At 48.9% G+C, this 22,087-nt stretch overlaps 2 annotated features.

The window, feature by feature from the left end:
- Nucleotides 166-235: a silencer, noted in NCBI's record as "silent region_20985". NCBI's record gives its function as "represses an Ori minimal core promoter by ATAC-STARR-seq in GM12878 lymphoblastoid cells {active_cell/tissue: GM12878}" and the evidence as "EXISTENCE:reporter gene assay evidence [ECO:0000049][PMID:35858748]".
- Nucleotides 20,703-21,203: an enhancer, noted in NCBI's record as "H3K4me1 hESC enhancer chrX:129093062-129093562 (GRCh37/hg19 assembly coordinates)". NCBI's record gives its function as "activates a minimal SCP1, AML or CMV promoter by ChIP-STARR-seq in naive H9 embryonic stem cells {active_cell/tissue: H9 hESC(naive)}" and the evidence as "EXISTENCE:reporter gene assay evidence [ECO:0000049][PMID:30033119]".

Raw genomic sequence — 22,087 nt, 5'->3', positions numbered from 1 at the left:
CAGGCTGCTGGGCTCAGGGAGGACACGTGGGGGAGGAGGGGAAGGAGGAGGAGGAAGGGGGGGCGGGCCTGCAGTTCTCGGGGCTCCCCCTGCCAGTCCCGGGGAAGCCGGAACCTCGCCGGGCAGCCGCAGACCCCGCACTGGCCACGGGGGAAGAACGGAGCCACCTTCCTCGGCCAGCCCCTGGCTCCAGGAAGGGGGGGGTCGAGCAACGCGCCGTTCGGGTCGGAGAGCGAAAGATTTCGCTCCTGCTCTGTGTGACTCTCATCCCCGTTTTAGCCTCAGTGTATGTTGTGGGGGGGCAAAGGGTCTTGCATGCGGTGGGGGAGACCTCCCCGCCGGATGCCCCGCCCCTCCCCCGGCCCCCCACTTCCCCACCCTGGGCGACCTCAGTGCGTGGTTCTGGCGCTCAAGCTCCGAGGCCGCCCGCGGGCGCAGCCCCAGCCCCGGCGCCGAAGTGGGACAGGTGCTGGGGAAAGGAAAATGCCAGGGCTCGCCGCCTTGCCTCTCGTCTCCAGGGCGGCCCACCCTTGGTGGCAACCTCCCCCGGCTGCAAACCCCCTGGGCCACCCTCAGTGGGTAACACCACCTGGGCGTGGAGGCATCTGGGGATGGAGGCGGGGGGGTAGGGGTCGGTGGCGAGAGACCCGAGTGAGGAAGAAGGAGGAAGGGGATGAAAGGTCTGTGTAAAGTGGGAAGCCTGCACGATTCAGAGCCAAAAGCCCAGCTCTAGAGGACTCGGCTTCTGCCGGCTTTCCTTGGGCTCCTCAGTCACCAATCCGAGCTCCCTTGACCCTTACCCTTTACCCTAACGACTCTCTGCCTGGCCAAAGGAATAAACCGTCGTGTGTGTTTACATCCCAGGCCATCCCTGGGACTGAAGGGCTGAGAAGCTTGCGGTCCACATTCGAACTCTCATGACTTTACATTGACTCCGAGGAGAGCAGCTAGCAGCTAGCAGCTTGCGAAGGAGCTGAAGCTGCCGGCCGATTTGCTCTCAGTCTTAGGGTGTTTCTTAGCAGCTCCAGCCCTGAGCCCATGACAGGGACTTCAAAGGCATCGCCTCAGCCTAGAGGGTATTAGGGGAGGTGCCCAGCAGTTCCTGGAGGATTCAGTGCTTTGTAAACGGAATTTGAAATGAATAGCAGGAATTCGAAAAAAGTCTTTATGTGCAGATATATTGATATTATTTGTTATATATTTATCCATGCTGAGGAAGTCAGAGGGTCATTTGGACTAGAAGGAAGCCCTGCCAGATTAATGTCTTCCTCCTCCTCCTCCCCACTCCACCTCGCTTCTGCTAGGCCCAGAGGTTCCATCTCTCAGCTCCGATGTCCCTTCTCTCCTTTGGAAGTACTTTAGAGATGGCAGTTGAGACTTGCCTGGTATGTCTCCCTCACCTGGTGTGAGGGATGTGGGTGAGCATTGGAGCAAGTTATCTAAGGCTGCAGTGGCTTTTCTGTTGCCTGAGGCCTGGTGTTCTAGGACCCCTCTTGCTTGTCCTCACCACCCTCAAAAGCTATTGCCAGCAACGTGGACAAGGCGCTGGCCATTTTATTTTGCTTTGGGAACCTCTCCTCAAGACATTCTACTTGGCCACTCCTAACCTCTCATGCACCCCACCCCTACTCCTGCACACCACATGCACACACACACACACACACCCACACACACCCCTTAAAAAATATTTGGCCTAAGTTGCATCAAGGGGAACGTGAAGATTTGGAAATGATCTGTTTAAGCCAATCAATATATGAACTCAAAATGCATGATTAAGGAGAAAATCGCCTCTATGGGGCCTGATGATGCAGATCCCACCAATTCTGCTTTAAGTTGAATTTACTGTCATCGCTGATTTTAATTAACCCAGAAATTACTAAATCTCCACTTCTTGAAAGCCCTTAGGGCTTTAGGGCTACTTTGCTCCTTGGTTTGAGGCCGAAACAGATCCTGAACACCTCGATTTGCACTAGTCTGTGTCTCACCATTTGGCTGCCTCATTTATCTGGCGAAACGAAGGTTGGGGCAAGATGATTATTTCCTGGTTGAAGCTCTAGCTCCTCTGAGCCCTTTCCTGTTGGGGGCCAGGCTTCCTGCCCTACAGGAGATGATGAGAAACCAAGGAGCAGGGTGGGGAGAGCTGTGGGAAACCTTGCGAAGAATGTAGATATTAATGATTATTTTATTTGAGGCTAGAACCATGACATAACCATAATAATAATACCTACCTTTGTACAGCATTGGATTGTTTACAAAACTCTTTCACTTGTGTTATTTCATTTGTTTCTCACTATAACTCTCCATGTTGTAATTGAGGAAACTGAGTCTATGTGCATCTGTGAGTGGCTTGCTCAAGATTGCATGGCTAGTGAGTTCCTGAGCCAGGACTCAACCCCAGTAATTCTAACTCTACATCCAGGGTTCTTTTCAGTATGGTATAGCGCCTCCATGTAATGCCAAAATAGTCTTTTTCACGCAGATTGCTTTTCTTAATTATTTCTCCCATCAGTAACATCTACTGACCCAGGCCTGGACTCTCAGAGAGGCAGCTTGGTGTAATGGAAAGAGGGTTGTTTGGGAAAGTTCTAAGAACCAGGTCCTAGTCCTTCCTTATCCATAGCTAGCAATGGGACCTCAAGCAATCCCTGACATTTGACTGAGTAGTGCCAGCCTGATACTACGGACTGTATTTTGGGTCTTCTCTTTACCTCTTAAATATGGATATCAATGCACCTGCCCTACCTCCCTCACAGGAACATCCCGTGAGCAATGAGGTATGGACAGGAAAGAGTTTTGTATACCATAAACTAATGGATTCATGCTGGAGTTTTTTTGCTTTTGGTTTTTGGGGATTTTTTTGAGACAGGGTCTCACTCTGCTGCCCAGGCTGGAGTGCAGTGGGGCAATCATGGCTCACTGCAACTTCAAACTCCTGGACTCAAGCGATCCTCCTGCCTCAGCCTCCCAAGTAGCTGGGACTACAGCATGCACCACCACGCCCAGCCAATTTTTTCATTTTTAGTAGAGACGAGGTCTTGCTATGTTACCCAGCTGGTCTTGAACTGCTGGACTGAAGCGATCCTCCAGTCTCGGGCTCCCAAAGTGATGGGATTACAGGTGTGAGCCACCGTGCCCGACCATGCAGGAGTTATCAGTGTCAGCATCACCAACCTCCCTAGGTGTAGCACAGAGACCTAAGGGTGACATGGGCCTGGGCCCTGCCCTCCTGAAACTTACTAGATAAAGCAGGACATCTGGGGGGTCCCAGGGTAATTTAGGCCCCAAACCAACCTCTAACTAAATCCATAGGGCAATTAGTTTAATCCTCTGCTTTGTTCTGTGATCAGAGCCCTTGTCTCGCTGGTAAAACAGCTCAGCCCTATGCCCCCACCTCCTCCCCGCCCAAAAAAAAATTCCAGTGGTTTAGATCTTTAGAGTTATAGAATGAAGCAAATTTGAAGCTTCTAGTTGTCCCTTTGTTCCCTGCACCTCAATCAATTGAAGGTGAAGTTAGTTTTGGAAGTTAGGCTCTCAGGACTGCCAAAGGGCTCATTCTAAGTTACCCGTCTTGAAAGGGAACGGGTTGTGGGGCGGGGGGGTGCGGGGGAACAGAAAGAGCTGTGCAAACTGCAGGAAAGAGTGACCATGTGTTACATGTGTTACACTGTGAGCTCTCTAGTGTTTCACTTTATGTTTCAGAGGACAAGCGGGGTAGGGGAGGAGTCTTTGCCTCTATTTGTTATTAGTAAATTTCAAAGGCATGAGCCTTTTTTGCAAGAAGGGTTGCTAAGGTAGATACATTCCAGCTGCCTACAGAGTACTGGATACTAAGTGCTGGCTCCCAGAGAACAAATGGCCTGGTCTCTGCCCTCTTAGAGCCCCAGGTGTGGATGGGGAGACAGCATGTCCGGTTAAACTGAACTCTGTAAACAACCAACAACTTTTTTGGATTTTATAGCCAAAGGAGTGAAAATGAGGAAAGGGGCTGAAATCAACCCAGAGGCCTCACCGGGTCAAGCCCTTCAGCTTGCTGACCACTCTCCTCTTCCCTGAGACTCCTAGGCTCTAAACAAAGTTCTTTCTTAAAAATTATTATTTTTTTTAACATTAGAGGGGGTGGTGGTGGCGTGGTCTTGCAATGTTGCCTAGGCTGGTCTGGAACTCCTGGGCTCAAGTGATCCTCCAGCCTTGGCCTTCCAAAATGCTGGGATTATAGGTGTGTGAGCCACCGCGCCCAGCCAACAAAGTTCTTAATCAAACATGCAGTGCTAGAAGTGGAAGGGATTCTAAGAAATCTGCCCTCCTGAAAAACTGGCTATGGTTGGCCACTGCCAACAAAATCAAGTCCATGAGCCTTCACCTAGCCTTTAGGGCCCTCCCTGATCTAGTTCTAGCCTCCTTTCCTTCCATGTCTCTCACAAGCCCTCTTTTCTGACCTGACTGGCCCCCTCGGCATTCCTTGGATAAGCCATCCATTTTGTCAGCTCTGCTTCCTCAGCTTTTTTTTTTTTTTAAACACTTAAAAAAATTGTACAGATGAGGCTGGGCGTGGTGGCTCACACCTGTAATCCCAGCACATTGGGAGGCCAAGGCGGGTGGATCACCTGAGGTCAGAAGTTCAAGACCAGCCTGGTCAACATGGTGAAACCCCATCTCTACTAAATATACAAATATTAGCCAGGCATGGTGGCAGGTGCCTGTAATCCCAGCTACTCAGGAGGCTGAGGCAGGAGAATCGCTTGAACTCAGGAGGTGGAGGTTGCAGTGAGCCAAGATCACGCCATTGTGCTCCAGCCTGGGCAAAGAGAGCAAAACTTTGTTCAAAAAAAAAAATTGCACAAATGAGTTCTTGAGTTCTCGTTGTGTTGCCCAGGCTGGTCTTGAACTCCTAGCCTCAAGTGATCCTTCCCTCTTCGCCTCCTAAAGTGCTGAGATTACAGGTGTGAGCCACCATAGTGGCCTCCCACAGGTTTTTTTGTTTGTTTGTTTGCTTGCTTTTTTTTGAGATGGAGTTTTGCTCTTGTCGCCCAGCCTGGAATGCAATGGCGTGATCTTGGCTCACTGCAACCTCCTTCTCCTGGGTTCAAGCGATTCTCCTGCCTCAGCCTCCCTAGTAGCTGGGATTACAGGCACGTGCCACCACACCCAGCTAATTTTTGTATTTTTAGTAGAGACAGGGTTTCACCATGTTGGCCAGGTTGGTCTCGAACTCCTGATTTCACATGATCCACCCACCTTGGCTTCTCAAAGTGCTGGGATTATAGGCGTGAGCCATCGCACCTGGCCCCTCCCACCTGCCCCCTCCCACAGCTTTTTATATGTCTTTCTCAGCTTATTGAAATCTCACTCAACCGTTACTCAAGACAGCTCTCTCATCTGGGTGTGGCGGCTCACGCCTGTAATCCCAGCACTTTGGGAGACCAAGGTGGGTGGGTCACTTGAGGTCAGGAGTTCGAGACCAGCCTGGGCAACATGGCAAAACCCCGTCTCTACTTAAAATACCAAACTTAGCCAGGTGTAATGGCACACGCCTGTAATCCCAGCTACTTGGGAGGCTGAGGCAGGAGAATTGCTTGAACCTGGGAGGCAGAGGCTGCAGTGAGCTGAGATCTTGCCACTGCACTCCAGCCTGGGCGACAGAGCAAGACTCTGTCTCAAACAACAAACAACAAACAAACAAACAAAAGACCATTCTCTCATGCCCCTTTCCCTGACACCCACACCCTCCCTATGGAAGTTGGCTGCTCCTCTGGGGCACCCCCACAGTTTTTAGCTTGTCCCTTTAGTTAGCACTTCCACACTCTGCCTGTCTATCTCTCCGACTAGATTTTAAGTTCCTTGGATAAAAGGACTCAGTATTTCTCATCTGTGTATCACAGCCTCCTTCATCTCCCCCCAAGACCTCCCACCTTGGCACATAGTAGGACTTGTTTTACAGTGGAGAAGCTGAGGCCCAGACTTGACTTCCCTTCTTGCCAAAGACTCATTTTAAAGTCTGGGTCTCTTTTAGTCTTTCTCTTCCCACTCAGTGATTAAGCACACAATCTCTGAAGTTAGACAGACATGGTTTGAATACTGGCTCCACCACTTCCTAGCGCTATTGCCTTGCATACTTTTCTCTGAGCCTCAATTCCCTCATTTGTGAAATGGGGGCTAATAAGTACCTCCTGAAAACGTTATAAGGGCCAGGCGCGGTGGCTGAAGCCCGTAATCCCAATGCTTTGTGTGGCCAAGGCGGGGGGAACAGTTGAAGTCAGGAGTTCAAGATCAGCCTGGGCAATATGGTGAAACTCATCTCTGTATATAAAAAAGAAGAAGAAGAAGCAAACGTTATAAAGATCACATGAGTTCTTGTATGTTAAGCACTTAGAACAGTGCCTGGCACCCAGTAGATGCTCCATAGTAGTTTAAAAAAATAAGGAATTTTTAAAGTTCAGAACTTGAGAGCGCCTGCTTCATTTAAGCCTAGGAATAAAACCCACAACCTGAACATAAAGAAAAAGAGATGTATTTTTGGGAAGGAGAATAGAATAAAATTTAGCAAGAACTTTCAGCAAAATTATTACCTCTTGCCCCAAAGAGGCTAAATATTGAAGAACAGCACCCATTTTAGTGGCCCACGTTAGTGGGTACTCAACAAATTCCACTGACTTTGGGGTACTGCTTTTCACTTGCTGTGGTGGTGATTCTGTACAGGCTTAGGGATGTTAGCAGGGACTGAGGTGCCTTGCAGAACCCACTTACATCATTCTTGATCTGTTTCATGTACCTACACCTGAGCTCCCCTCCACCTGGCCAAATCCTTTGAGCCCCACCTACATGAAGCTTTAGGATAATGCCTTTGCCTCTGAGAAGTCCTCTCGTCCCTGAACTCTTGGCCCCGTAGGTAAGTAGTGCACAGTTTAGCACTCTTCTGTGCCTGTGCCTTAGTTAGATGGCCCCATCTGAGAGCAGGCACCTTGTCATAGAAGTCAGCATTCCCCATAATGCCTGGCAGCATTTGCGCAGACCGCACTCCATGAATACTTTGGGATTGACTGACAAGTAGGCATTCACGAGGAGCAGTAGGAGCATGGGTCCCCTCAAGTCCTGCCCACCATGCCTTCTATCAATCCTCTGTCCCCACACACACCACACTTCTCAAACCAACCACCCACAGACACCCCAGTGTAGCCATCTTGTCTCTTAGAATTTGTAAATATCTGGACAGCAAGGGCCACGTTTTCCTGTGTCCTCCACGTGGCCCAGCATAGAGCTTCCAGCATTAACAGCAGAGAGTAAGCACATAGTGTCACGAGCTATAGATAACTCAGTAAAGATACCATTCTTATTTCGGCTTTCTCTCTCTCTCTCTCTCTCTCTCTCTCTCTCTCTCTCTGTGTATGTGTGTGTGGTATGTGTGTGTGTGTGATGTGTGTTTATATGTATTCTTGTGTGTCTGTTCTTGCTCATTAAACTGCAAGAGCTCCACAGGAATTGTCCATTTTGTGCTGAAAGTTAAAAGATGATTTAAAAACAAGGTAAAACCTGGGATTTGGATTTTTTTTCTTTTCTTTACAATCTAGGTAATGAATGTTCTGCCTTTAGCACACATTCAGTCTATACTCTTACCAAATTTTCTCAAACTTTAATGTACATCACAATCACCCAGGACAGCTCCTTAAAATTTACATTCCAAGACACTGTCCCACTTAGGGTTTTATTGAATAGGTTGGGGTGGTGCCTCGTACTTTGCATTTCAAACAGTCTCTACAGTAAATTCTAGAACCAGTGGGTTCTGGGACTACATCTTGAAGGACATTAAGCACTTTTTTCCTTTTCGTCTTTACCATAGATCCCCAAACGTTTCACTACCGAGGGTTTTTATTATTTCTTTCCCTTCATGGACCCCATTTGACACAGTTATATGTCACTTAGTATGTGCCAGACACTGATCAAAGGATTTTACAAATATTAGCTTATTTAATACTCATAACAACCCCATAATGTAGATACTATATCTTTCCCCTTTTATAAATGAAGAAATTCAGGTACAGAGAGATTCAGTGACTTGCCCAAGCTTGTCCAACTAGCACATTTTTAGTCAGTTGAAGTCAAATTCATATGAAATTAACTGCCGGGTGCAGTGGCTCACACCTGTAATCCCAGCACTTTGGGAGGCCGAGGCGGGCAGATCACAAGGTCAGGAGTTTGAGACCAGCCTGGCCAATATGGTGAAACCCTGTCCCTACTAAAAATACAAAAATTAGCTGGGCGTGGCAGCAGGTGCCTGTAGTCCCAGCTACTACTCGGGAGGCTGAGGTAGGAGAATCACTTGAACCCAGGAGGCGGAGATTGCAGTGAGCCGAGATCGTGCCACCGCACTCCAGCCTGGGCAAGAGATTGAGACTGCTTCTCAAAAAAAAAAAAAAAAAAAAAAAAAAACACTTTAAGGTGTAAAATTCACTGGTATTTAGTACATTCCCAGTGCTGTACAACCACTACCTCTCTAGTTCCAAATTGTTTTCATCACCCCAAAATGAAACTCCCTACCTGTCAAGCACTTGCTCCTTGTTTCCCCCTCCCCTCAACCTCTGGCAATTAGCTATCTTCTTTCTGTTTCTGTGGATTTACCTATTCTGGATATTTCATTTACATGGAATCATAGGCCAGGCACAGTGGCTCAAGCCTGTAATGCCAGCATTTTGGGAAGCCAAGACAGGAGGATCACTTCAGGCCAGGAGTCCAAGACCAGCCTGGGCCATATAGCAAGACTCCACCTCTTTCCTTAAAGAACTAAAAGTAGAACTACCATTTGATCCAGCAATCCCACTACTGAATATCTACCCAGAGGAAAAGAAGTCATACTAGCTGGGCCCAGTGGCTCATGCCTGTACTCCCAGCACTTTGGGAGGCTGAGGCGGGTGGATCACGAGGTAAGGAGTTCAAGACCAGCCTGGCAACATAGTGAAACCCCCATCTCTATTAAAAATACAAAAGTTAGCTGAGCATGGTGGCACATGCCTGTAATCCTAGCTATTCAGGAGGCTGAGGCAGGAGAATCGCTTGAACCCAGGAGGCGGAGCTTGCAGTGAGCTGAGATCATGCCACTGCACTCCAGCCTGGGTGAGAGACTCCATCTCAAAAAAAAAAAAAAAAAAAAAAAGCCAGGCGCGGTGGCTCACGCCTGTAATCCCAGCACTTTGGGAGGCCGAGGCGGGCAGATCACGAGGTCAGGAGATCGAGACCATCCTGGCTAACATGGTGAAAACCCGTCTCTATTAAAAATACAAAAAATTAGCCGGGCGTGGTGGCGGGAGCTTGTAGTCCCAGCTACTCGGGAGGCTGAGGCAGGAGAATGGCGTGAACCCGGGAGGCGGAGGTTGCAGTGAGCCGAGATTACGCCACTGCACTCCAGCCTGGGAGACAGAGCAAGACTCCATCTCAAAAAAAAAAAAAAAATACGTAAAAGATACTTGCACAGGCATGTTTATAGCAACACAATTCGAAATTGCATAAATACAGAACCAGCCCAAATGCCCATCAATCAATGAGTGGATAAGGAAATTGTGATATATATATGTATATATATACTGGGTACAGTGGCTCACACCTGTAATCCCAGCAATTTGGGAGGCCGAGGCAGGCAGATCACTTGAGGCCAGCAGTTCGAGACCAGCCTTGCCAATATGGCAAAACCCCGTGTCTACTAAAAATACAAAAATTAGCCAGATGTGGTGGCACATGCCTGTAATCCACAGCTACTCAAGAGGCTAGGTCACGAGAATCGCTTGATCCTTGGAGGCAGAGCTTGCAGTGAGCTGAGATCGCACCACTGCACTCCAGCCTGAGTAACAGAGCAAGACTGTCTAAAAAAAAAAAAACATTGTGAATGTGTATCTATATATATACATACACACACAATGGAATACTACTCAGCCATAAAAAGGAACAAAATAACGGCATTTGCAGCAACCTGGATGGAACTGGAGAGCATTATTCTAAGTGAAGTAACTCAGGAATGGAAAACCAAACATCATATGTTCTCACTCAAGTGGGAGCTAAGCTATGAGGATGCAAAGGCATAAGAATGATACAAAGGACTTTTGGGTCTCGGGAAAGGGTGGGAGGGAGGTGAGGGATAAAAGACTACACATTGGCCGGGTGTGGTGGCTTATGCCTGTAATCCCAGCACTTTGGGAGAGGTGGGCTGATCACTTGAGATCAAGAGTGGAGACCAGCCTGGGCAACATGGTGAAACCCTGTCTCTACTAAAAATACAAAAATAAGCCAGGTGTGGTGGCGTGTGCCTGTAGTCTTAGCTACTAGGGAGGCTAAGGCAGGAGAATCACTTGAACCCAGGAGATGGAGGTTGCAGTGAGCTGAGATCGCACCACTGCACTCCAGCCTGGGTGACAGAGTGAGACTATCTCAAAAAACAAACAAACAAACAAAACAAAAAAAACTACACATTGGGTACAGCATCTCGGGGGAAAGGGTGGGATGGAGGTGAGAAATAAAAGACTACACATTGGGTACAGTGTACACTGCTTGGGTGATGGGTGCACCAAAATCTCAGAAATCACCACTAAAGAACTTATTCATGTAATCAAACACCACCTGTTTCCCAAAAATCTATTGAAATAAAAACAAATTAATTTTAAAATAGAATTTTAAAAAGGACTCCATCTCTATATTTAATTTTTTAAATTAAAAAGAATAATAGGGCCAGGCGCGGTGGCTCACGCCTGTAATCCCAGCACTTTGGGAGGCTGAGATGGGTGAATCACTTGAGGTCAGGAGTTCAAGACCAGCCTGACCAACATGGTGAAACCCTGTCTCTACTAAAAATACAAAATTATCTGGGCGTGGTGGCACATGCCTGTATTCCCAACTACTTGGGAGGCTGAGGCAGGAGAATCACTTGAACCTGGGAAGTGGAGGTTGCAGTGAGCCAAAATTGCACGATTGCACTCTAGCCTGGGCAACAAGAGCGAAACTCTGTCTCAAAACAAAAAAAAAAAAAGAGAGAAAAGTTAAATGGAATCATATAATATGTGGTCTTTTGTATCTGGCTTCTTGTGCATGTTTTTGAGTTTCCTCCATGTTATAGCACATATCAGTACTTTTTTCCTTTATATAGCTGAATAATATTCCATTGTATGGATATACCACAATTTGTTTATGCATTCCCACCTAGTAAGATTTTTTTTTTTTTTTTAAGAAACGGAGTTTCACTATGCTGCCCAGGTTGGTCTCAAACTCCTGGGCTCAAGTGCTCTCCTTCTTTGGCCTCCCAAAGTGTTAGGATTACAGGTATGAGCTGCCACACCTGGCCAATAGCTAGTAAATTTGAAGTCAGGATTAGAATCCAGAAAGTTGACCAGGTGTGTGGCTCATGCCTGTAATCCTAACACGTTGGAAGACCAAGGCAGGCAGATCCCTTGAACTCAGGAGTTCAAGACCAGCCTGGCCAACGTGGTGAAACCCTGTCTCTAAAAAAACAAATACAAAAATTAGCTTGGTGTGGTGGCGTGTGCCTGTAGTACCAGCTACTTGGGGTACTGAGGCAGGAGAATTGCTTGAACTCAGGAGGTTGAGGCTGCAGTGAACCATGATCATGCCGCTGCACTCGAGCCTGGGTGACAAAGTGAGACCCTGTCTCCAAAAAAAAGAAAACCCATAAAGTCTGGCTTCAGAGTCTGTGCTCCTATCCCCTCCGTGTCCCAAATACTTATCTACTTAAACAGGATATATTTCCAAGTAATGCTTAATTTGTCAGTTAAAAATTTATAAGATACATATAAAACTGCATCAGAACATTAGATCAGCCTGAGCTAGCCACATTGAAGTCATATAATCTCAGCCAAAGCCAAAAATCACTTGATGTTGTCATTAACCTGTGAGGCTTCATCCAGGTTCATGTATGGTTTCACTAGACTATAAAATACCAAACATAATTCATAGACTTTCCTACAGACTTTTATGGGTTGGATCCCAGTTTGGGATCCATTGATTGCAAATCCCTGCCAGACACTCACTCAACAAAGAGAGATTCCATCAAGTTGCTCAGTAGACTCTACTGACAATCCAGAAAGTGAGCACACGCATGTTAGATTTTTCACACCAACCATCTAAACAAAAAAAAAATGATTTGGAGGTTAACCTTTAGTAAATTAGAAAATTCCGGCCTGGCAGGGTGGCTCATGCCTGTAATCCTAGCACTTTGGGAGGCGGCCGTGGGAAGACTGCTTGAGAGTGGAGCCCTTCAGAGTTCAAGACAAGCCTGGGCAACATAGAGAGACCCTGTATCTAATCGTGGTGGCCCATGCCTGTAGTCCTAGCTACTCAGCAGGCAGAGGTGGGAGGATCATTGAGCTCAGGAGTTTCAGGCTGCAGTGAGCTATGAACGCATCACTGCACTCCAGCCTGAGTGACAGAGTGACAGAATGAGACCTTGTCACTAAAAGAAAAAAAATTTTTTGTTTAATTGAAAAATTCCATCCAGGCTGGACGCGGTGGCTCACGTCTGTAATCCCAGCACTTTGGGAGGCCAAGGCAGGTGGATCACCTGAGCTCAGGAGTTCGAGATCAGCCTGGCCAACATGGTGAAACCATCTCTCTACTAAAAATACAAAAACATTAGCTGGGCGTGGTGGCGGGTGCCTGTAATCCCAGCTACTTGGGAGGGTGAGGCAGGAGAATTGCTTGAACCCAGGAGGCGGAGGTTGCAGTGAGCGAGATTGTACCACTGCACTCCAGCCTGGGCAACAGAGCAAGACTCCATCTCACAAAACAAAACAAAACAAAACAGATTTCATCCAGGTGCAGTGGCTCATGCCTGTAATCCCAACACTTTGAGAGGCTGAGGCAGGAGGATCTCTAGAGTCCAGGAGTTGAAGACTAGCCTGGGCAATATGGCAAAATCCTGTCTCTACTAAAAATACAAAAATTAGCCGGGCATTGTTGCATGTGCCTGTAGTCTCAGCTACCCTGGGAAGCTGAGGTGGGAGGATCGCTTGAGCCTGGGAGGATAAGACTGCAGCGAGCTGTGATCACACCACTACACTCCAGCCTGGGTGACAAAGCGAGACCCCATCTCAAAAAAAAAAAAAAAAAACAAATATAAGAAAATTCCAAAATCTGGTATGTCATTCTGCCTGAGTATTCTAGCTAGCTAGAATTTCACCACTAAAGCTGGGCACGGTGGCTCAAGCCTGTAATCCCAGGACTTTGGGAGGCTGAGGCGGGTGGATTGCCTGAGCTCAGGAGTTCGAGACCAGCCTGGGCAACATGGCGCAACCCCGTCTCTACTAAAAATACAAAAAATTAGCCGGGCATGGTGGCAGGCACCTGTAATCCCAGCTACTCGAGAGGCTGAGGCACAAGAATTGCTTGAACCCAGGAGGCAGAAGTTGCAGTGAGCCGAGATCGCACTACTGCACTCCAGCCCGGGCAACAGAGCAAAACTCTGTCTCAAATAATAATAATAATTTCACCACTAAGGATGCACATGGCTATGTCTTGGGGGCCAAAAATAGAGCCCCTTAACTGCCCCCAAAAAATGTGACAGCCTGTGCTGGACTTACCAGAGAGGCCTTCCAGACCTGAAGCTGAGGTGAAAATGCTGTCTCAACACAAGGCCGATTGCATGATTTTATCTCCTGAATTTTCAAAGGTGTGGACAAAAAGCAACCTAAACAGGCTTGCATTTCCTCTGGAGTTTTGTGATACCCACAGCCCATGGCTGAGAGCCCCATTTGATGTTCTGAGTGTTGCCCTCTCCAAAAGGGTCCCTTGTTGCTCCATCAGAGACCGAATAACCAGGCTGGATTCAAAACCATTAGCCCTGCCTTCGCTTAGTAGAATAAAATGAACATCAAGGCGAGCCTTGAAGGGGGAAAGATGCCACGAAACCTGTGGCTGGAGAGGTGAGGGGTGAATGAGGAGCAGTGAAGGCTTCTTCATCTCTGTAGTGCCAGGACCTAGCAGAAAGCCTGGCACCAATAGGAAAGCGTTCAGTATGTGTTTGTTGACTGAATGTCTGACTGAAAGAGAGCCTTCTTCTTGGTCTGGAGGTCATCATGGAGGCGTTGTAGAGCTGCTCTGTGGGGACAGAGAATGGAGGGAAGTTGGCATGGGTCTGGAGTGTCCTGCCAGGACCTACACAGACCATGTTTTTCTCTGCCTGAAAATTTCTCCCAGGCGAAGTTCTCAGCGCCTGCAAGTCTCAAAAGTAGATTCCTCCAAGCTCACTGTGTACTTTATTGGAATAAACTCAACTCAGGGAAACTTAACAGTGGCATAGTGTTGTGGGGAGAATCCAACGAGAGCACCTATATAAAAGCATATTGAGGCCGGGCGCGGTGGCTCACGCCTGTAATCCCAGCACTTTGGGAAGCCAAGGACGGTAGATCAGGAGGTCAGGAGTTCGAGACCAACCTGGCCAATATGGTGAAACCCCGTCTCCACTAAAAAAATACAAAAATTAGCCGGGTGTGGTGGCGTGCGCCTGTAGTCCCAGCTACTCGGGAGACTGAGGCAGAAGAATCGCTTGAACCCAGAGGCAGAAGTTGCAGTGAGCTGAGATCGTGCCACTGCACTCCAGCCTGGGAGACAGAGCAAGGGTCCGTCTCAAAAAAAAAAAAAAAAAAAAAAAGCATATTGAAAAAGATAGAGGGGCAGGGAATTCTTGATAACTCACCAATATCGGCTTTGTGTGGTCTAAGTGACCCTTTGTATGTGCCATTTGGCCAGGTAGGTTTCTATGTACAGATCCTAACCCTGAACATGCACACGCACGACAGGCACTCCCACACAAACACATTTTATAATGCAGTAGACTCCTGCGTGCCAAAACCCATATAACTACAATCTTCAAAGAATCGGAATGCTTTTTTTTGCAATACAATGCAATAATCCCTTACATTTGTATGGGGCTTTGCGGGTCACAAAGTGCTTCCCCATCCATGACCCCATTTGTTTGTTGATTGATGTTCAGAACGGTTCCAAGGCTTTGCAGGATCCTGAAGGCCCTTGAAAAGACTCAAATAGCAATAATCTGTGGTGTGAATGGCCTTGGCTGTGTGCTGAGCCTCTGAACACCAAGCCTCTAGTTGTGACAGAGACATCCAGGGGTACAGTGACCTGCTGCCACAGACTTGCAGGGACTCAGCAGCACTTGGGAGACTGGGTTTGTAGGACATGATTCCTGCAGCTGAAAGGAGCTGAGATCCATCTGTACAAAATCAGTACTATAGCAGCAACAGAGGAGGCCAAAGGGTTGGAGCACCCCTCCCTGATTTCATTCCATCAGCCATTCAATGGGCAGACAGTAAGCACTTGAGCTCCTTTCTCTGGTTTGTTCTAGATATTGAGGGTACAGATACAGCAAGACATGTTTCTCTCTTTCTCTCTCTCACACACAGACCCACACACAAGGCTTCACCTGGAGCTCCAAATTCCCAGGGCTAACCTGCCTCTGTCATGCTCCTGCATTAAGAAGAATATTGGGGGCCGGGCGTGGTAGCTCACGCCTGTAATCCCAGCACTTTGGGAGGCCGAGGCGGGCAGATCACGAAGTCAAGAGATTGAGACCATCCTGGCTAATACGGTGAAACCCCGTCTCGGGAGGCTGAGGCAGGAGAATGGCGTGAACCCAGGAGGCGGGGTTTGCAGTGAGCCGAGATTGCACCACTGCACTCCAGCCTGGGTGACAGAGCGAGACTCCATCTCAAAAAAAAAGAAGACAAAGAAGAAGAAGAATATTGGAGGCCGGGCGCGGTGGTCACGCCTGTAATCCCAGCACTTTGGGAGGCCGAGGCGGGCGGATCACGAGGTCAGGAGATCGAGACCATCCTGGCTAACACGGTGAAACCCTGTCTCTACTAAAAATACAAAAAATTAGCCGGGCTTGGTGGCAGGTGCCTGTAGTCCCAGCTATTGGGGAGGCTGAGGCAGGAGAATGGTGTGAACTCAGGAGGCGGGGCTTGCACTGAGCCAAGATCGCGCCACTGCACTCCAGCCTGGGCGATAGAGCGAGACTCCGTCTCAAAAAAAAAAAAAAAAAGAACACTATTGGATAAACCAGATCCATGGGAGAAAAATGCAATTTTATAATGCATATTAATAATAGTAGTAATCCCTCACATCTGTACACAACTTAATAGTTTACAAAACACTTCCATCCCTATTCCTTTATTTGATCCTGGGTCCTGTCGTCGTCCTTCATATTCAAAGACAATCTTCTGATTGTGATCTCTATCTCCAGTGCGAGTGAAGCAAGGCTAAGGCAGGACCAGGAGGCCCTCCTGCCCTCTGCTAACAGACAAACATCATGGTGGGCTTTTTTCTCTTTCTCTTTCTCTCTCTTCTCTCTCTCTCTCTCTCTCTCTCTCTCGCTCCCTCTCTCTCTCTCCCCCCTCCTCTCCTCTCCTCTCCCCTCTCCTCCCCTCCCCTCCCCTCTCCTCGCTTTCTCTCTTTCTCTCTGTCTTTCCGGAGTCTCTCTCACTCCGTCGCCCAGGTTGGAGTGCAGTGGCACAATCTCAGCTCACTGCAACCTCTGCCTCCTGGGTTCAACTGATTCTCCTGCCTCAGCCTCCAGAGTAGCTGGGATTACAGGCATGCATCACCACACCAAGCTAATTTTTGTATTTTTATTAGAGACGGGTTTTCGCCATGTTGGCCAGGCTGGTCTCAAACTCCTGGCCTCAAATAATCCACACCTCCCCTCGGCCTCCCAAAGTGCTGGGATTACAGGCGTGAACAACTGCGCCCGACCGGGTATTTTTTTTTTCACCCTTTTCTTTTTCTTCCTCCTTCTTTCTCTTGCTGTGCTGTCTGTGGAGCCTGAAGTTGCCTATGACTCAGCTTCCCAGGCTCCAGGGAGCCTGGCACCCCGGGGAAAAGGACTGCTGGCCAGCTAGCCCCCCAAGCTGGGATGCCAAGCCTTTGACTCCTGCAGAGTGAGGAGGGGAAAGCCTCCGTTTTAGGCAGCCCCAAAGTGAGCCCCAGCCCACCTCAGCAAATTGAGCAGGCCTGCCACCGGAGAAGGGGGGCAATTTCAATAGAACAAGGAAAGGAGGGTTCCCTGAAGCTATTAGGAGGATGTGAAATGGGGCTCTGAAGCTGGGAGGTAAGCGCTAAGTTCATGCTTCAAAAAGTGCAGACATAGGAACCTAGGCTTGCAGAAGAAGATGCTGGGGAAGGGAAAAGAGGATTCCCCACTATGGTGGCTCACGCCTGTAATCCCAGCATTTTGAGAGGCCAAGGCGGACAGATCACTTTAGGTCAGGAGTTCAAGACCAGCTTGGCCAACATGATGAAATCCTGTCTCTAATAAAAATACTAAAATTTGGGCCAGGCACAGTGGCTCACGCCTCTAATCCCAGCACTTCGGGAGGCTGAGGTGGGAGGATCACTTGGGGTCAGGAGTTCAAGACCAGCCTGGCCAACATGGTGAAACCCTGTCTCTACTAAAAATACAAAAATTAGCCTGGTGTGGTGGTACCTGTAATCCCAGCTACTCGAGAGGCTGAGGCAGGAGAATCACTTGAACCCAGGAAGCAGAGGTTACAGTGAGCCGAGATCATGCCATTGCACTCCAGCCTGGGTGACAAGAGCGAAACTCCATCTCAAAAAAAACCCAAAAAAACAAAAATTTGCAGTGAGCTGAGATCACCCCACGGCACTCCAGCCTGGGCAACAGAGCGAGACTCCGTCTCAAAAGAAAAAGAAAAAAAAAAGAGCCCCCCCACTGTATCCACTGGGTTTCTAGGCCTTTTAAGAAACCTACTTCACTCATCCATCCCCATTCCCTCACATACTCAAGTTTTTGTTTTTTTGTTTTTTTTTTTTTGAGACAGAGTTTCGCTCTTGTTGCCCAGGCTGGAGTGCAATGGCATAATCTTGGCTCACTGCAACCTCCACCTCCCAGGTTCAAGAGATTCTCCTGCCTCAGCCTCCCAAGTAGCTGGGATTACAGGTGCACTCCACTACTCCCGGCTAATTTTTTTTATTTACTAGAGACAGGGTTTCATCATGTTGGCCAGGCTGGTCTTGAACTCCTGACCTCAGGTGATCCACCTGGCTCGGCCTCCCAAAGTGCTGGGATTACAGGCGTGAGCCACCATGCCCAGCCTAAAGTATCTTCTTTCATTTGTCCAGTTTCTTCACTGCCCCCTTCTACCTCCATTCCTCTAATGTAGCCCCAATTTTTTGAGCTAATGATGCTTTCAGTGAAAGCCCAACCCAGAGAGTTCTGAAGTCATCCCACCCAAACATTCTCGAATTCCCCCATCCATCCCTCTCTCTACATGGTTCTCAGCCCATAGCTGTGGCCATACCAGTCACGCTCTCCACCTGGCCCAGAGCCGCCCCAGATGGGAATGCCTAAGAAACGAAGGAGGAGTAGGGGATATAGAAACCACTGTGCTGTGGTTGTTTGCAGTAGTAGAGAATCAAAGCCCATCTTCCCCTGGTAGGAGGGATCAGAGCTGTCTGTCTTGGCAGTTGCGAGCAGGGGGCCCAAGCAGCTAGGAAAAGCTGCTGTCAGCTAGTGGCCAGGTTAAAAAGAGATGACGGTGTGAGTGACTGCCATGTCTGGGTGGGGAAGGAGACCCACGACCCCCTCCCTTCATCTCTGGATGTGACCAACAATCCGCTGAGGCTTCCAACCAAGCCTAACCTCGGAAACTCCCTTCTCTCAGGAAAAGAGCTTCGTTCCAGCCCAGGAGCTTCTCTGGTTGAGTCCTCTTCTTAGCCCTTGCCCTGACGTTTGGGGCCGGCCGAGTTAGCATTGTCACTCTGGCAGTGGCAGCCAGTGCGGGGCGGGAGTGTGTGTAATTGCAACCACTTCCTGCCCCAGCTTGCCCTAGGGCTGGCCCCGCCCCTGAGGACAGTTGGGGCGGGGCCCAGGTATAGTGAGGGAGTCCGGTAGCGGGTTGGGGGCGCTGGCTAGTGGGGCCGCCCTCCAGGGAAATCAGCTGAGACTCATAAAAGGGCGAGAGAGGGGGGTGCCTTAGTTCCAGCCAACCATCACGAGAGGGCTGGGGCCTCGGGGCATTCTATTGGCACAACCCGTCCCTGCAAGGGAGGATCTAGACAACAGCCCCTCTCCAACTAGTATACGACTAGTTCCAATATTAGCTTTATTCATGAGCTCCGGACCCGCTGAAGCCCCAGAGGAGAGGGGGAGGGAAGAGCTGGGGTCTACACGGAGGGATGTTCTCCTTCCTCTCTGCCTTGGCACTGCTCTCTGCCCCAGCAACTTAAGGCAGATAGAAGGGCCGTGAGCTGCCGAAGACTCTGGTGGTGCACACCACCATTAGCCTGCAAGTGTCTCCTGTCCTGGAGTTTCCGGGATTCGCTGGCAGGTTGTATCATGGGTCTGTCTGGTTACCCTGGCCTGGGAATGCCCAGCATGTACAGAGCCAGTCCTATATCAGGTGCTCTGGAGGTATAAAAGAAGCAGAAAAACAAGTTCGAGGCTGCACTGTGCTATGATTGCACCTGTTAATAGTCACTGCCCTCCAGCCTGGGCAGCATAGCAAGACCCTGTCTCTAAAATGAAAATAATAATTTTACTTTTTTTTTTTTTTTTGAGACGGAGTCTCTCTCTGTTGCCCAGGCTGGAGTGCAGTGGTACAATCTTGGCTAACTGCAACCTCCGCCTCCTCAAGCGATTCTCCTGCCTCAGCCTCCCGAGTAGCTGGGACTACAGGCCTGCGCCACCACGCCTGGCTAATTTTTGTATTTTTGTAGAGACGGAGTTGCACCATGTTGGCCAGGCTGATCTCGAACTCCTGACCTCAAGTGATCCATCCGCCTCGGCCTCCCAAAGTGCCGGGATTACAGGCATAAGCCACTGTGCCTGGCCAGAAAATAATAATTTTTAAAAGAAAAAAGAAGCAGAATGACAGCCCCCTCCTTTTGGGGAGCTGGATATCAACTGGGCATTAGGGTGGCAGAGTGGACAAAGAGTGTGCTTTGTAGTCAAAGATGAAGATTGTAGACCTGCTCTACCCCAATGCATCAACTGTGTGACCTTGGGCAGCTTGCTTATCTTCTCTGAGCTTCAGCCTCCTGGTGTCTAAAGTGAAGCTACTAATACTTGCCTTATGAGGTGTGGTAAAGGTGAAATAAGACATGCATGGGAAAGTGCTTTGAAAGCTATGAAGCACTATACAAAGGTAAGACAGGGATGATAGTATTGAATGGGGTGGAGGTGGGAGACAGGACCCTAATGGGAAATATAAGCAGGCACCCATGGTTAGGGTGCAAACTCTCCACTGGAGTGTTACAAGAGTGTGCTGTAGTGAGGCTATCTGAGGCAGGTAGGGGGTTAACTCTGCGTAGATTTCCAGTTGGAGGTGGGTCTGAGAGAGGAGATCCCCTAGGAAAAGGCAGTCAGGCGAGGTGGAGAAAAAGCCATAATTTCTCTCCTTTTGAGAAGGGCTTGCTGCGGTCCTGGTTGCCTTAATCATGCCCGTGTGAAGAGAGGCCAGTGGTGGGTGAGGGCGGCCCCACTACACAGTTTTGTTTAGCGGGGAGGGGGCGGCCTGTCAGCCCTCAAAGTATAAGGCAGCAGCTGGAAGCGCGCCGCTTACTCACATACCACGCCTGCAGCGTGCACACGGCTCGCTGGAATGAGCCGGGAGCGTCTCCTCTCCTCGCCCTCTGCAGACCGAGAGACGGAGAAGAGCCGAGGGGAGCTGGGTGAGCCGAGCACATTCAATGACAGCTGCAAACCTATGGGCTTCTCGGTCCCCTTCACACTCTGGCAAGGGCTGCCCAGCCCAGGTGACCCCTGCCTTCCCTTCTCTGATCAGCAGCAGCCAGCCCTGCCTCCCCCTACACGGGGATAGGGCCATCTTCACTTGCTTGGTAAGTTTTGGGGGAAGGGTGTACCCCTGTGTCGTGGTGGCACACGTGGTTGGGGATGCAACCACGTCTATGCATGTCAGCAGCCATGTGTGCAGGTTCAGGCAGGTGTCTGCATACAAACGTGTCACACGTGCAAGCTCCGAGTGTCAAGAATTACAGGACTGACATTTCTGCTCCTGTCTGACTTTGGACCAGGGACCTTCTCATCTGTAAAATGAAAAGACTTGTACCAGAGCATCTCAGGGCCTTTTCAAGCTCAAATCCTCACTGTTTCTATTATGTAGGGCTGTGGTTGCTTAAAAAGTCAGGGCAGTAAACAAAATCAGCCCAACCAGTTGTGACGTTGCCTGTCGACACTTCAGATGTTTAGGTTTGGAGATTCAACTTTCAAAAGGCCATTTACTTGGCATCATGTAACATCTGTTCACTTTCCAAGGAGTGACACCCCGACTGTGGCATGATGGTATTTTGTGTATTTGTGTGTTTATGTGAACGTGAGAACATCTGTGGGCACATGTTTAAGTTGCATCACAGGATATTAGCGCTGAACGAGGTCCTGAAGGTCATCCTGTTGGATCCCCTTCCATTTCTAGTACATGTATTCAATATCTCTTTTGTAAGCAAGGATCTGTGCAGGGAGGTCTACAGATAAATAAGGCATAGTCTCTGCCCTCCAGGAGCTCCCCATCTATGGGGGAGAGAAACATGTCAACAAATAATTACAATACAATGTGATAATAGAGGTATAAATCCTAATCTATGGGAGCGCAGGGGAAAGCCCAATTAATTCTGCCTGGGAATGTCTGTGATGGCCATGACAGTCTCACTTTACAATCATTACATTCATTCTACAGCCAATGAGTTTTCATCTACAGTTTTCCACCTCCAAAATATTCTTCCTAGTTCTTCACTCCCCACCACCTCCTCTCAGCAAATCTAGGAAGATGCAATGAGTCGACTACATCAAGGAGAACTTGGAAACCTCTAGTGAGCGGGAAGGGAAAAGTCCCTGGCTGGGAGTGTGAAGCTATAGAATGAGTATGTCCACCCAAACGGCTAGTCTGCACAAGCCGAAAAGGATTGGCCAGATGGCATACTGGGATCAAAATGGCCCACTGGGATCAACCATGACCCACACTCCTTTCAGCTACTGGCCAGCGAGAGGCTCGTGTGGGGACAGTTGAGGTTGCTTGGGTCAGTGGTTTAGCTAACGCTGAGGTAGGGT

The sequence above is a fragment of the Homo sapiens genome, chromosome X (genome assembly GCF_000001405.40).
Source record: "Homo sapiens chromosome X, GRCh38.p14 Primary Assembly".
Classification (NCBI taxonomy): Eukaryota; Metazoa; Chordata; class Mammalia; order Primates; family Hominidae; genus Homo; species Homo sapiens.
This window is presented reverse-complemented; position numbering and strand designations above follow the sequence as displayed.